Consider the following 15,195-nt stretch of genomic DNA (forward strand, 5'->3'; position numbering starts at 1 on the left):
CCTCCTACATTTATTCATTAGTCCTCTCTCATTGAAAACCAAATTCCTTACCTGAAAAACAGTAAACAGAGGTGTTCCTGAAATGCAATATTACTTTAATATAATTATATAATTGTATCTATATTGTGCTTGTGATTTTTCTGTGTTTATATGCCTGCTCAATTTCCATCTTGTTTCTCTATTACCATATCTGTGCAATGTGCTTATAAAAGCTGTCAAAACAACACAACATACAAACTCAGAACAGGTCCAGTGAACTGTTTCAGCTGCTTTTTCTTCTCATTTCCTTCCACTCGCTTCAGGAATCCTTGGGCTTTGACAGTGGGAATTGCAAAACCCTCAGGGCAAGTCCCTTTGTGGCTCATTCTGCATCTTATTTAGTGCTGGTGTCCAGAGGCTATAAGTAATTCCGAACAGGCCCATGTCACAGCTGGCTCAGGTGACTCACAACATCATTCACATTTGTCGATATTCTCCCTAACGTCTCCGGAATCAGGTGTCAGTCATCAAGAACTAACACAGCACGTAGAGAGTTCAGCAACACCAGAGTTCAGTCCCCAGCGCCAGCGTGTGGATATCTTAATGAGACCAAATTTGGGGCTCGGTGAACGACTCTCCATTCTCCACTCAGAATAAAAGAAAAACCTTCAAGTGTAGTAGGATGGATTCAAGTTAGATTCAAAGATAAGTCCCCTGAGAACATGGGTTGGTAAACACTGGAACGTGTTACCAAAGGAGGCAGAAGAATATATTTTCCTTAGTGGGTGTTTGTTTATCTTTCTTAAGTCCGTTTTCACCAGTGTCTGGACTTGCTGACAGATGGTTCTGCTCAAACCCAGGGAAACAGACTTGATGACCTTTGATGTACACTTGGAATGCTCAGAGCTCTCTTTAAATGTCACTTCTCTACAGAATCCTTCCCATCCTACCTATTCTAATTATATTGCCCCTCTTTAACTTTCTCCTATTACCCTGTTATTTTCCTTCCCACCTCTTATAATGACTTGTAATTATACATTTATATACTTGTTTTTTTCCTTTGGAGAGCTGGTTGTTAAACATTTGCCAGCACACCACACCACTGCTCCTAATTGTTCTTCCCGCTTCCGCTTTAGCTCCCACATAGCCACCAAATTGAGCCTCTAAATATTTGAATCAGCTTGAGCTATTCCTCTGCTCAGTCACTTCCAGTTGCTTCCCATCTCACTTCGTCAAAAGCCAAGATTCTTACCCTGGCTAAAAAGTCCCCAAGCCATCTGCCGAGCCCCATTCTCCATATTTTTCTGATCCAGTCCTCTTTCCCCATGGCTGCTCTGCTCCAGCCATTCTTCAGTCCTGCAGTTCCTCAAACACCAGAGCAGGCTCTGCCTCAGGGTCACTGAATATGCTTTTCTCTTCCTGGAAAACTTTCCCCCAGACAGAAACTTGGCTCCCTCCCTCACTTCAAGCATCTTGGTTTTCTAATTCTTTGCAGTGGCTCAGGCCTGCAATTCTAGCACTTTGGGAGGCCAAGACAGGAGGATCACTTGAGGCCAGGAGTTCAACACCAGCCTGGGCAACATAGCAAAACCCCATCTTCACAAAAAAATAAAACAAAGTTCTGTGCAAGAAACATCTTGGATCTGGCTGGCCTTATTTCCTCAGGCCAAAAGAAAGTCACGAATATGACAGTGTGCCAGTTTGAGGCTTAGGCTCAAAAGGTCTGAATGCTTTTCTGCTTTTTGTTTCAGAACCCTGCCCTCTTTATGTGAACTAGCCCACTCTAGTCTGCTGGAGGAGGAGACACCATAGGGAGGAAAACCAAAGTGCCCCACTTGACAGCCAGCTCACACCAGAAGCTGAGATGTGCTGGAAACATAAAATACACAGAGAGTTTAGAATATCCAGTACCAAAAAAAATACATACTTCAATAACAAACTAGAAACTATGTGCAGACAATAACCTTTACCACAAGATACTTCCCACAGAGTTGTATTGTTTGTTTGTTTTTGCATGGTTTGGGTTTTTGGGTTTTTCTTTTTGTTTTGGTAATGTCATATTTTTTCTTCTAATCTAAAGTGGACTAAGCTATCAAAGTGCAAGACCAAATTTGTGCTTGACAATTTCCTTTCTGTGTTACATACTTACCATGTTTGGGTTGTGCTATGGATTTTCTACATGGCATCAATTGGTCTTCGTAATGCCCTATGCTCTGTTCTGGTTGCTAAAGTAAAGAGAAAGCCTCAAATGAGCACTGAGAAGTCTATCATGCATCACTTTTTCAACTTTCCAATTTCTATTTGCTCCTGTATTCTCCATACTTCTCTGTCCTCTCTTTTGTTTAAAATCTCATTTAGCATTCTCTTGAGGGCAGAACATGAGATTACAATCTAACTATTGTAATGAGAATGGGTTAAGTTGGTGCCGTTTCCCATTTTCATTACAATCTTGGTGGCAAGAATAATGTAACAGAATTTTTAATGCCTCATATATTACATGAACATTTTCCCGTGAGCTCCTACTCCTTTTCTGCGGACAGCAGCATGGCTGGTGCTATAGGACTTTGATCTTTTTATATTCTGCATTATAATCAATTGGCCATTTCACCCCTTCCCCATAGATTACAGTCACACAAGTAAAAAATATTTTGATCTATAGCATACCACTGCATCTCATGACTATAAAATCCTGTCACCTGAAGACCACTACCTGCAAAATGCATGGAGCCTCTGAGTCAAATTGGACAGAAGGCACAATCCAGGTGTCTTTACGGGCAGGTACTTCTCTGAAAGGCACTCTGGGAATAGTAGTTTTATAATTTAAAGCACAAGTGTACAGAGTGTGCTTGAACCCAGGAGGCAGAGGTTAAATATCAGGACTTCCTGGAAAACTGGACTTTGAACTCTGAGATGCTCACCCTCCAAATGGAAAGCCTCACAGGTTCTTGTTATTCCAAGTGTGGTCCTCTGACCAATAGCATCAGCATCACCTGGCAATATGGGAAAAGTGCAAAATCTCAGGCCTCGGCCAGCCCAAACCTCCTGAATTAGAATCTGCATTTTGACAAGAGCTCCAGGTGTCTGGTCTACACTACAGAGTTTGGGAAGACCTGCCTTAGAGTTTCTTATAGAGTACACATCATACAGAAATTCAAAAGCAGCTCCCCTCTTCCTGAGTAATCCCCAACACTTACTTTGGGTGCCTTGTCAAGGGCTGGGCCCTGGGATCCCAGAGCCCCCTCTCCTGGCTTCCCAGAATCTTCCCAGACTCTCCCTGTGATGTCATCCTCACCTTACCTTTTCCTGGCCCTTTGCTTATCATTACCAGCCTTTCTGGGTTACACTTTCTTTCTTTTTTTGTTTTTGTTTTGAAACGGAGTCTTGCTCTGTTGCCAGGCTGGAGTGCAGTGGAGTGATCTCGGGTCACTGCAACCTCCGCCTCCTGGGTTCAAGCGATTCTCCTCCCTCAGCCTCCCAAGTAGCTAGGACTACAGGTGTGTGCCACCACGCCCAGCTCATTTTCATATTTTTAGTAGAGACGGGATTTCCCCATGTTGGTCAGGATAGTCTCGATCTCTTGACCTCATGATCCGCCCACCTTGGCCTCCTAAAGTTCTGGGATTACAGGCATGAACCACTGTGCCTGGCCTCTGGGTTACACTTTCTAGGGGACTAAAACCTTTTGACTGCTCCTCAAATGGCCTTTCAAGCAGAAACATCTTCATCCAAATCTTAGCTCTGTCGATCTTGCTCTGTGCAATCTTGTGACGATAATGATATTTACTATATTAGTTAGAGAGTAAGAACAAACTGCTGTCATGAAGAGATCCCCAAAACACAATGGTCCAAACCAGATAGAAATGTCCTCATTTCGTGGGTAACCCACAATGGAAGTCAGCTTGGCTACCCCCCTGTTTTGGACAGTGAGGCTTTCCCCAGCACATTTCTTCATGATTCACTTAGAGCATTATCTTTGTCTGCCTGGTTTAAGCCTTGTTGCAGCAGGCAGAAAGAGGAAAGGGACTTCACAGTGGGGTCCCACCCAGCTGGGAGGTGTTGCCCCGCTCCAGGTCCATGACCATGGAAGCAGCTGGGCATCTGAGTGGGCAGCTGTAGTCCCTTCCCCAATCCCCTAGCAGGGTGATTTTAGAGGCAAACAGGATTATGAAGATAGATCGTGTAGCACACTGCCTGGCACCCATCACATTAGGTATTCAATAATGGTAACTATTATTCTTATCATCTTATTATTGGCCTTCCTGGTAATTCCTCCTCTTGCTATTTATCAAGTCTGTTCAAAACCTCACTCATGAAATAGAAAGTAAACAAATTTCTTTTTTTTTTTTGATATTGAACTTTATTTATTGTACCACATTGCATTGAAAATTTGGTTTAAAAATGTCTCATGAACAGCAACAATCCTGAATTTGTAACTTTCCTGAATTATAGCTAAATGTCTATATTCAGCTTTGAGCAGTTTTAGTAAATCAAATCAAATGTAACAATTATGATTATCCCTATTGATGTTCTAACATTGTGACGTCCACAAGGGAAGAGAGTTCAGAAAGTGAACACATTTCAACCCGCCCTTTTGAAGGGACCCACTGATGCCTCAGATCAAATCACAGTGGCTTAAAGTCAGGTTTGTGTGACTTTGGCACCAACTTGGAAATGGCTTGGTCACCAGAGAGGTTAACAAACAACTGTCCCATATATACCACATTTATCTTCCACATCTGTATGTCTTCTGTCACAGCAGCATTTGATACAGGGCTTGGAGTGCTTGTGGTTCATCAGTGGTGGGAGAGGTCTTTGGTGAAAGGGCGTGAGGTAGTCTGATCCCACAGGGAACTCTGGAAAAGGAGCAGGAGCAGGAGCAGGACTTGTACTACAAAATCAGTCCCCTTTGTACTCCGGTTCCAGGCAGCTTATGGCTGCAGGCCACAGGCTTCATGGGCAGTGAGCTCAATGTCCCTAACAGCCAACTTTGTAGCAACTTAGGAGATGACTGCCACAGCCTGTTAAAGGAGATGTGGGCCGTGCCCATCAGCAACCATTTTCTGCGGATGTTTGCTGCTTACTTTCGCCGTGTTAGAGAAACAAAGTACTGGGCCAAATCAGAGTAGAAAAAAGTTCTTATCTAGATGATTGGATCAGGAAAGGTTTTTGTCTCACTGTCACAGACTAAACTTCTCACTCCAGCCATCACTTGGCCACAGGGGCATCATAAGAAACATGCAAATTTTCACTACTACTGGAAAAGTGATTCCTACCACAACAAGAAAAAATGTTTTCTGCAAATAGGCATCCAAGCTACTTGTTATTATTTAACCTGTTAATGCAGTACCACTCTTCAGAAGCAACCTAGGTAATTAACACATTGCATGGACCCCAAACAAGAACATGGGTTGATTCAAATCACCACCTTTAACATATTTTCAAAACCATCTGAGAAGGATTTGGGGGAACGATTCAAGGCATTCTTAATCACTGCCTACTGTCCAACTTCCTTTATATAACACCTCTTAGATCTAAACCGAATTCTCCCTTCCCAGTACCCCTTTCCAAGGCCTTATGTCTTCATACCTAGATCAGTATAGTTTCACCTGCCACTAACTCTGGGACAAATCCCAAGGACTAGCTCCATCTCGAGTCAGCCTGAGCTTGGACACTGGTCCTGGGCTTTGTCTTGTTCTTTGTGTACAGGACATCATCTACCCCAGTTCCGGAAATGAGACCAATACTTTCTCCAATGCCTGATTTCCTGCTTTAGTTCCCACTTAGATGCCCCAGGTCCCTTAGGAATAGGTCCTTGTGCCCCTGAGTCCATTTGGAGATTTGCCCACTCACCAGTCCTGTGGCTTCCTGCTGCCTAGTGACAGCCTCCTTGGGCCACATGCCACATGCCCACTCACCTGCCTGCCTGCATCTGCACCTAAGGTCGACTGCCAGACAGCTCTCCTTCCCACAGAATGGGAAGAACAGATGGAATAGTCTTGACAAAGTGGTGTAAAGAGAGAAAATGCCAGCTACACTGCAATAGGAAATGAGAGTTAAACTCCTTTATGAGAAAAGGGAGTTGCTAAAAATGGAGGCCATGGAAAGGGGGAGGCTGCCCTCCTTCCATCCTGATGGTTGCTGTCAGTGGGACTACAGAACACAGCCATTGAGGGCTTGTGTCCTGGGATGAGACCTGACTTACAGCCCAGCGCACCACTCACTAACAGCTAAGAGAGGACAAACACATCACCCACCAGGTTCAGGTCCCCATCTGTAAAGTAGGAGTAATAGCACTCTGTCCTCCCAGCTACTTCTCTTGCTGGAATTCAAAGAGATACAATATGTAAAGTCTCTTACAATTGTTCCTTAAGCATAGGCCTGATACACAAGAAATGCTCAATAAATAGTAATATGCATCAGTTCCAGAGGAAGAGATACACGTAGAGTAGATTTTTTGTAGGGGAGAGAGAAGATCATGTATTTAGAATAAAAGCCTAGGCTAGATGATTCAGCTTGTAAAAGATCAATAAATTCAGAAAACGTGGAAGTGACAGAAATCAGCAAGGTGAAAACTGGAGCAGAAATCTGAGTCCAGAGCAGAAAGAAGAGTGCAAGAATGGCAGCCTTGGGATTGGGAGTGTTGGGAGACGCAGATCAGCAGGTTGAGGAGGAAAGCTGAAATTGAACCAGAAAGGTCGGAGAGCTAGGGGGAGTGGGACCCGGCTGTGGTTTAGGGAATAAATGCACTGTAAAATGCCCCCAAGGCAGCAGAGAAAGCTATGAGAGAAAAAGGAAAGGGGAATCGAAGAATAGGGCACATTTTATTGGAAGGGCAGTGAATAGAGGGAGGCTCAACAAAGTATTCGAAGCAATTGGGGGAAGAGAGAGAATGATAGGGAAGTCCATAGAGGGAGAGGTAAACAAGCAGTCAGCTGTGATAGAGAGAAGAGGCAATGAAGAAACATAATAATATATAATGCTATTTCGAAACAACAGCTGGGAATAGGGAATTCATAGCGAAGCGATAAATACCAGCAATGAGGGAAGTAAATACCATTAAAATGCACAATAGTTAATAACAATGAAGCCAAAGTGGGGGGAGCAATTAATAAATTAACAAACAATAACATAAAGTTTAAAATGAACAGAGGGAAAAACAAGGTTACAAGTATGACCAGTTAGTGAGAGAAGGGCAGGGTTCCTTGGAGGAGTAACAGGGAAGGATGATTCAACTGTATTGCAGAAGTACAGGCTCCAGGCTCTGCACAGCTAAGAGAGGAGAGGACAGGGTCCATTCAAACACAAACAAATGGATGGAAGAGCGGTGCATAGCAAATGCTGCTCCCAGCTCTCTCCACATTGCTGCGGTCCCCATAGCTACTCATCTACCACCATCACAAATAAAAATGGCCTCAGGGAACGGCTGCCTAGATTGTGCTGCTAATGGTGCACAAATATGTAAGACTTTATTCTAAAGGTGGTCTCTAAAAATAACGACTAGGGAACTGTCTTAAAAATGTAGATCCTGGAGCAGGTCACAGACCTCATTCTGAGATTCAGTGTCTTCTCTGCTCCCAAGCCACATCTCCACCTCAATACATCTTTCTGAGTGGTATTGGGAGTGAGTAGGAATCCCCAAGCCCAGGTAGGGAGTCCCTAGTAACCATATTGACTCCCATCAGTCGTGATTTCATAGACCTGAAAGCCTCAGTCATCATGAGAGCATCTCACCCTCAGGATAGTTTCTACCTATATGGTTTCCTTTAAATATTTCTCTGCTTTTTTAACACAAATCTTGAATTTAGAAGGGCTTCATTTCTTTTCCAAAGCACAAGTAAAGGCTTCTGTAATTTTGGGTCAGATAATATTTTCTACTCCTGGGAGAGCACCTCACCCTCAGGAAAGTTTCTACCCATATGGTTTTTAAATATTTCTCTACTTTTCTAACATAATTCTTGAATTTAGAAGGGCTTCATTTCTTTTCCAAAGCACAAGTAAAGGCTTCCGTAATCTTGGGTCAGATAATATTTTCTACTCCAGGGAACACCTACAAAGCAAGAAAAAAAAAAAAAAAGCTTCAGCCAAGTTGGAGAGATGGACAGTGAAAAGAATAGAAGCTGGCTGGGTTGGACTTGATAGGCCAGTTTTCCCTCTTGTTTTAAGAAACGTGTCCCTTTTCCATTTTTGTGTGATATCAGGTTGCTATTCTTGGGGCATTTTCCCAGAGATAAGTTTCTAGAAGACAACGTCAATTTATTATGCTTCTTTGCCTGCCTCACAGCACCCCCTGTCTGTTTTTCCACTTTGTTTTACCTACTCTCCTCCCATCTTAACGCCCAGCATCTCCTGTTCAACCAGGATTTAATAAGCAAAGACCTGCTGTTGGCTCTGTCACAGACTGAGAAGCTCTAGTTCTCCAAAACAGCTCCAACTGGATGGAGAGTTCCTGAGCAACTACATTCCCAACTTGCAGTTCAACAGTGAGAATGATAAGAAATCAGAAGAAGAAAATAAGAAAACTAGACCCTAAAAAGAAACAGGTGGTACACAGTGCAGATAATTCCAGGGTTAGCAGGGAAAGGATAAAAGGCAAGAGACAGAGGAAAAGGGAAATTGGAATAATTGGCCTAAAGAAGAGGGAAAGGGAAGAAAACAAAAAGGTAAGGAAAGGAAGAAAAGGGGAACAAGGAGAAAATGACACATCGAGGCTTTCCAAAGAATAAAGAATGCCAAGAAAAAAAAAATACCAAGATGGTGTTACTTTTATATTTGCATAAAAAGAATGTTAATGATAATCCATATGTAATTAGAACTTGAATTTGGTTCAAGTACCCAAATCAAGTAATTTTTATCTTATTGTATGGGATGCATAATATGTAATATCAATTGCATTCAGTAGCGATAAATATGAAAGAATATTTTTCTTGAATCTACTGCTGCAAAACAAACATAGCCTATCTCTCTTAAGGAAAAATCATTAAGTAATTATTTTGGAGGCCATTAGACTGGGGTAGCTTCAGAGCCCTGAGTTCCTACACAAGCAAACTGGAAACCACCTCAGTGAAACAGCCATCCTCTAGGCCAATCAGAAACCATCAACTAGCCTCTAACTCAGGGATTATTTACATTGCTTCCACATTCACCCTATAAAATCCTTTCCCTCTGCCCCTTCAGTAGAATGCCCAAATGCTTGCAGTCTGAAGTTGCCAGATTCATGAATTGCTGTCTGCGCAAATAAAGTATTTAAAATTTTAATATGCCTTACTTTATCTTTGAACAAGAACTATCCTAAAAAGAAGGAAAATCCAAGGGTATAAGTTATAGCTCAACTGTTCTGACTTCAATAAGTTCCTGTTGAGAGAAAAAAAAAAGCCTCATTTAATGGAGCAGAGGCTAAGCTTTGTTCTGGGCCCAGCACAGGATTAAACACTGTGCATTGATCATGCCTCACTGATGATCATAATAATTAACATCAATTCTGGAGGCAGTTAATAGACAGATGGGGTGACCTTTTTACTTTAGAATCTAAATTATTTGCTATTGGATAAGCAATTTGTTTTTACTGGATTGAATATGAATTAAATTAATTCTAACTACTTTAAGTTTGATACAATTGACATGCTATTGTATTGCCTTTTAATGTTAGGTTGCTTGCATGTGCTGTATTTGACTTGTATGTGGGTATAAAGAAGTCAGCTTTCTGATCTTTTTTCATGAAAAAGAAAGCCACCTTGAACAATTTTACAGTGACATCTGCCCTTATGTGAATGATAAACAGTAATAGAGGAAAGAAACAAGCGAGTAGTCAATGTCCTTATCATTAAAGAAATTGATAATGGCCTTCTGCGCTCTATGCAATTCCTTCTGGAAAGCACATTTAACAACAGCAACAATGGGTATCACCTATATATGGGCTAAATATCTAGTGTCATCATTAATGTTCACATGAATGTCACATTCCAAGACTGCCACATTCTGAATCATCATATAATATGTAAATGGACCATTTGTTTAGTCACATGGGCAAAAAATGGTCTGACTCCATGGGTGCACCGTTCATTCTTCTTCAGTCCCTGACAACTATTCAAATACCTTGGGTGTTAGAACAGGAAGAGGCTTGGAGTCCAGCTCTACTTCAGCCATTGAGTTGTTGTGTAGTTTGGACAAATTACATCCTATCTCCCACCTGTGAAATATGAAGAGTGGTGCTCCCCTGCCCCTCCTACCTCCTGGATTTATGGAAGGATAACACGAGGCCTTAAAGGAGAAAGTGCATTGAAAACACTCTCTATGCACCATATGCCTTAAAGGTGAATATCAGTCAGAGAATAGCAATGTCAGGAGAAAATCAGCAATCATCTAGTCTAGGCTGCTGATTTCACTGATAAAGCCTCTGAGGGCTGGAGTCCAAGGTCAAACAGGTTGTTACCGATGAGCTAGGACAAACCTCTGGTCTCCTGGCTCCCCAGTCCACACTCTGCACTACTCCACTTACTTAATTATTGGTCATCCTGTTTTGCCATATTACACAATTAACCTAAAATATCAGTGTTAAATTGTCTTTCAACATCAATATTGTAAAATAATTTTACTAAAGTCATCTAATTATGTGACTAATATTTCTTTAATGAAGCAATGATATTTTAGAATAGCAAAAATGTTGATTTCCAGTATGCTGAGTGTCCCTATCTAAAGTCACACTGTGAAATATTAGCTAATACTTCTTGAGCACTTTACAGTGTGCCTGACTGTCCTAAGGGTTTCTCATGATCTCATTTAGTCTGGTCAATAATCCTACGACGTTCACACTTTATTATTCTTCTCTTAAAGAGGAGGAAACTTCATGTGCTCATTCATGCACACTGCTTGCTTCATTTTGCAGGGAGACTGAGCCCAGTAAACTTAACTTCCCTGCCTCCTCTGCCAGGGGCTTCTGGGTGGGGTCAGCCAATGATAGGCACTGGCAGGCGCGGACAGCAGCAAGGCAGGAATCAGGGTATTTCACCTCCCTCCCCTGGGTGGCGCACTTTCTCTCAAAGGGGCTGTTTCTCAGTGGTTCCAGCTCTTGCTGGACAGTCCCTCCCTTCCAGGGTCCTCACTCTCCCACTCCATCCTCGTCCCTGTTATCACTCTCTCTCATCCTTTTCTCCCTCTAGTACTAGTAGTACAAATCTTGGTGCTGCCTCACTATTTCCTACTGAACTTTTAGCCCCTCTAACACCCTTGTACGTAGTTCCCCACATTGCATTCCCTCTGTTGAACTACTTGGTATTTTCCTGATTGGACACTGACTGATTATAGGCTTCCGGAAGCACATAACTTAAAGTTACAGAGCATGGGCTGAGTTTGAATTGGGGCCGTCGGATTGCCAAGTCTCTGCCCAGTCTCTGCCCTTGAATCTTGAAAGGCTACTGTTTCCAACAATGTCATGGACTAAGATAATGGTCTCCAAACTTTTCATTAATTTTTTTGTTGTGCACGTTTATGAAGAAGAAGTTTGTAAGCATGGACCCTTGACACATGTATATTTATAAATTTCATGTAAGTAGATATTCTAAATACTAGTAAAGCTTGTTTTCATTTTGTGTTTTAAAAAAGAATTATGATATTTTTCTCCATGCCAAAGGAAGCCATCATAATGAGATTTTGGGTATAGTTGAAATATACCTTGAATTCTTTATTGCTGTTATATAATTTCAGTCACTTTCTTCTAAAACAGTGAGACATTCTCCAGAATCATGCCATATTTTCTTCTTGTTTAGTTTTCTCATTTTCTCTCTCTCCTTCCTTCAACCATAGGACGTGAACAGCAGAGATTAGGAATGAGGGAAAAATGGAGTGAAAAGTCTCCCAAATCTTTTTTATTCCCAGTTTAAGACAAGCTCACACTCTAGAAACAGTCAAGAATTGTAAGCATCTTTTTAATAATAGTTTTACTATCACATAACATAAAATTCATTTCTTGAAAGTGCATAATTTAATGTTTTTCAGTATATTCACAGAGTTATGCAACCATCACCACTAACTAAGGATAGAACATTTTCACCCTCTGAAAAAGAAACCCAAATCCATTATTTGTCACTCCCCGATCACCCCCAGCCTCTGGCGACCACTAATCTACTTTCTGTCTCTATGGATTTGACTATTCTGATCATTTCATATAAATGAAATCATACCATATGTGGCCTTTTGTGATTGCTTTTTTCACTCAGCATAATGTTTTCAAGGTTCATCCATGGCGTAGCATGCATTGAAACTTCATTCCTTGCTATGGTCAAATAATATTACATTGTATGGATATACCACATTTAATGTATCTATTCATCAGCTGATGGATATTTGAGTTGCTTTCACTTTTTGGCTATTGTGAATAGTGCTGCTATGAACTTTTATTTACGCTTTTATGTTTGCATTTCTCTTGTGTATATGGCTAGGAGCAGAATTGCTGGGTCACATGGTAAATGTACATTTAACATTTTAATGAAGTGCCAAACTACTTTCCAAAGTGGCTGCGCTATTTTACATTCCCACTAGCAGGAATGTCTGAGGGCTCCAATTTCTTCACATTCTTGCCAATGCTTGTTCTTTTTTATTTTAGCCATTTTAGGGGGGTGTAAAGTGGGATCTCATTGTGATTTTGATTTGCATTTTCCCTAATTATTTGACATGTTTTTAAAAACTAGTTATTTAATTAACACTAAATAAATTATTAATATAAAATATTAATATTTATTTTCAGTGAATGAAACATGAAAGATGGCCAATTTCATCTGCACACAGAAGAGCATTCCAGTGCTCTGATAAAATGTTTAAAAATCACAATGTGAAAGCTAAGTAACCATTCCATTTAAAAATGTAATTTTAAATTTAGAAACTGCATATTTAAAATACAGTGCCACTAGATGTTATATATAATATTGCATATAATTGGATATGCAATATAACCCCCACCCCTGGACCATGGTCTCTGCAACATTTTAAAGGTTCTATGCATCAACTGATCTCTTAAAACTGAGTCCGTGTTCTTAACCACAATGCTAATTTAATTAAGTAAGCCAGACATTTGATTAACATTTCCATCTCATTCACCAAAACTTCTCCTACATTGGACTATATTTTAGAGCACTGTATTTTCTCCCTGTTTCTGCCATTCACCTTTAATTGAAATTCAGCATATTACTGTTAGTTATTAATAAATATCAATCCTTCCTTTGCTTACATAGCAACAGTTTCTTAAATAAACAACCATTCTTAAAAAGTATCAGGAAGTGGAGGGCTTAGTGAGTAATATGGCTGATGGAAGCATCGATTCCTGAGCTGGACATTGAGAACATCATTAGAATCATTATACTGCTCTTGGCAGGAAGGGCTGCCACCCTCTGGGTTCTAAAAGTTTTGTTTCAAGAGGAAATAGTACCAAACGAAAGAGTAACCTATTCAGTCATTCATTTCACAGATAAATAGTAAGGGCCTACCACGTGCCAGGAACTGTGCGCTGGACACACAGCAATGAACCAGACCCTCAAAGCCCTGCCCTCAAACAGCACACATTCTAATGAAATGCCTTTCACCAGCCTCCTGCTGCCCTTGTGTAAGGAGCGGTGCCTGCCTCTGCAGCAGCCATTTTGCTTCTCTGGGGACAAAAGCCAACACACTGTGGATGACAACGCTTCAAAACAGAAAGAAACTCCTTTAAATGAGTGCGAATGGCTCAAGGCCCCAAAGCAATTCACTTTCAGTGGTCAGGGTTTTCTACTTCTGATTCTCAGAGCTTACTTTCAGGGAGCTAATGTCCAGAGGAAAAAAGCAAAACAAAAAACAAACAAACAAACAAAAACCTCATTCAGACTGTCCAGATCATGGCCCCAATTGCTAGTTGAAACTCTTCTGAGGAGTGAAAACATCCAGAGGATGTATTTCTCTAACAGGCGTTTTCCACATACACCTGTTTTCAGACTGGAAATACCGGACTTCCAGAACAATGCCTTGTCCCTTGGGGTCAATTCCTCTAACTGCTGATCTCCTTTCTCTTGCAAAGCTCCCAGACAGCTAGCCTACGGTAGCTCTGATGTAGCTAAACCTCAAACTGCTCAGAATCTCTATAAAAGCCTCAATTCCCAGGACATTTCTAGCTCAAGTCTCTAAGTGTACCTGTGCTCTCAGGGCATAAATTGAGCAAGACCCTGAGGATCTCTAATCTGATGCCTTTTTTGATGGCCCAGGGGAGGAAGATACTAAAAAATTGAACTTAAAGGGCCCACCAGAAACACAAAAATTTTAAAAACAAAAACAACAACAACAACAGATTCAACTAGGTCTCCCTGTTAAATACTCTCATAGCACCTGGCACTTTTCTTTTGTGGCATTTGTCACAGCTTATTATTCAATACTTGTTAGTATTTATATTTGATTCATAAAGAAAGGAACCTTACCTGTTTTGCTCACCCCTGTATTCCCAGGGGATGAATGAATGCATGCTTTCATTCATTCGTTGGGCCATGCAAGTCTTAACATGGAAAACTGACCTCTTTTAGTTTATGGCATGTCCTTGCCCTTAAGAATGGAAGTCCTGACATCACAAAACATGTTGATTACCTGTCCATTACTTCATGGCTATTAGTTGACAACTGGGGATTCTTGTAGGCTTACCCACTTCAGGGACCACACACAATAGAATCTCCTTTCCAAGTTGCCTATGTGTGGGTTAGTAATCCACTCTGTCCCCTGAATATGCTGCCGGCTTCTGATTGCCCCACCAAGCCAGGAGTCAGGTTCCAGCTCTCTCTAAAAGAAGATCCTTGAGATTGTAGGTTGTGCAGCCAATTATACCTAAGCTCAGTTTGGGTTTATTCAGTTTCCAAAATTGCCAAAAAAGACAGTTGACAATATCCAAGATCCTTTTAGAATGGAGTGTATGAAGTGCCACATATTCAAAATATGCCTTTTCCTTCAACTTATTACTAAAGAACATCCTTAAGGTGTCAGATTTGTTCATCATTTGGATTTGTATCGGTAACTGTTACATCATTAATGTTATGGACATTCTGAGTTGTAATGTAAATTCTTTAGTGAACACTAAAATGTCATTCTCCAAGATTTGGGTCCTGCTTAATATTGTATCATTTTAATCTCCTATAGCACACACTTTAGCACCTTCATTTTATTCCCCTAAGAAACTTTTCCTAAAATTCAGATGCTAAAAATGTAAACCTAAAT

At 41.0% G+C, this 15,195-nt stretch overlaps 1 annotated feature.

The window, feature by feature from the left end:
• Positions 13,652-14,280: an enhancer, noted in NCBI's record as "OCT4-NANOG-H3K27ac hESC enhancer chr18:23255307-23255935 (GRCh37/hg19 assembly coordinates)". NCBI's record gives its function as "activates a minimal SCP1, AML or CMV promoter by ChIP-STARR-seq in primed H9 embryonic stem cells {active_cell/tissue: H9 hESC(primed)}" and the evidence as "EXISTENCE:reporter gene assay evidence [ECO:0000049][PMID:30033119]".

Source organism: Homo sapiens, chromosome 18 (assembly GCF_000001405.40).
Source record: "Homo sapiens chromosome 18, GRCh38.p14 Primary Assembly".
NCBI lineage: Eukaryota > Metazoa > Chordata > Mammalia > Primates > Hominidae > Homo > Homo sapiens.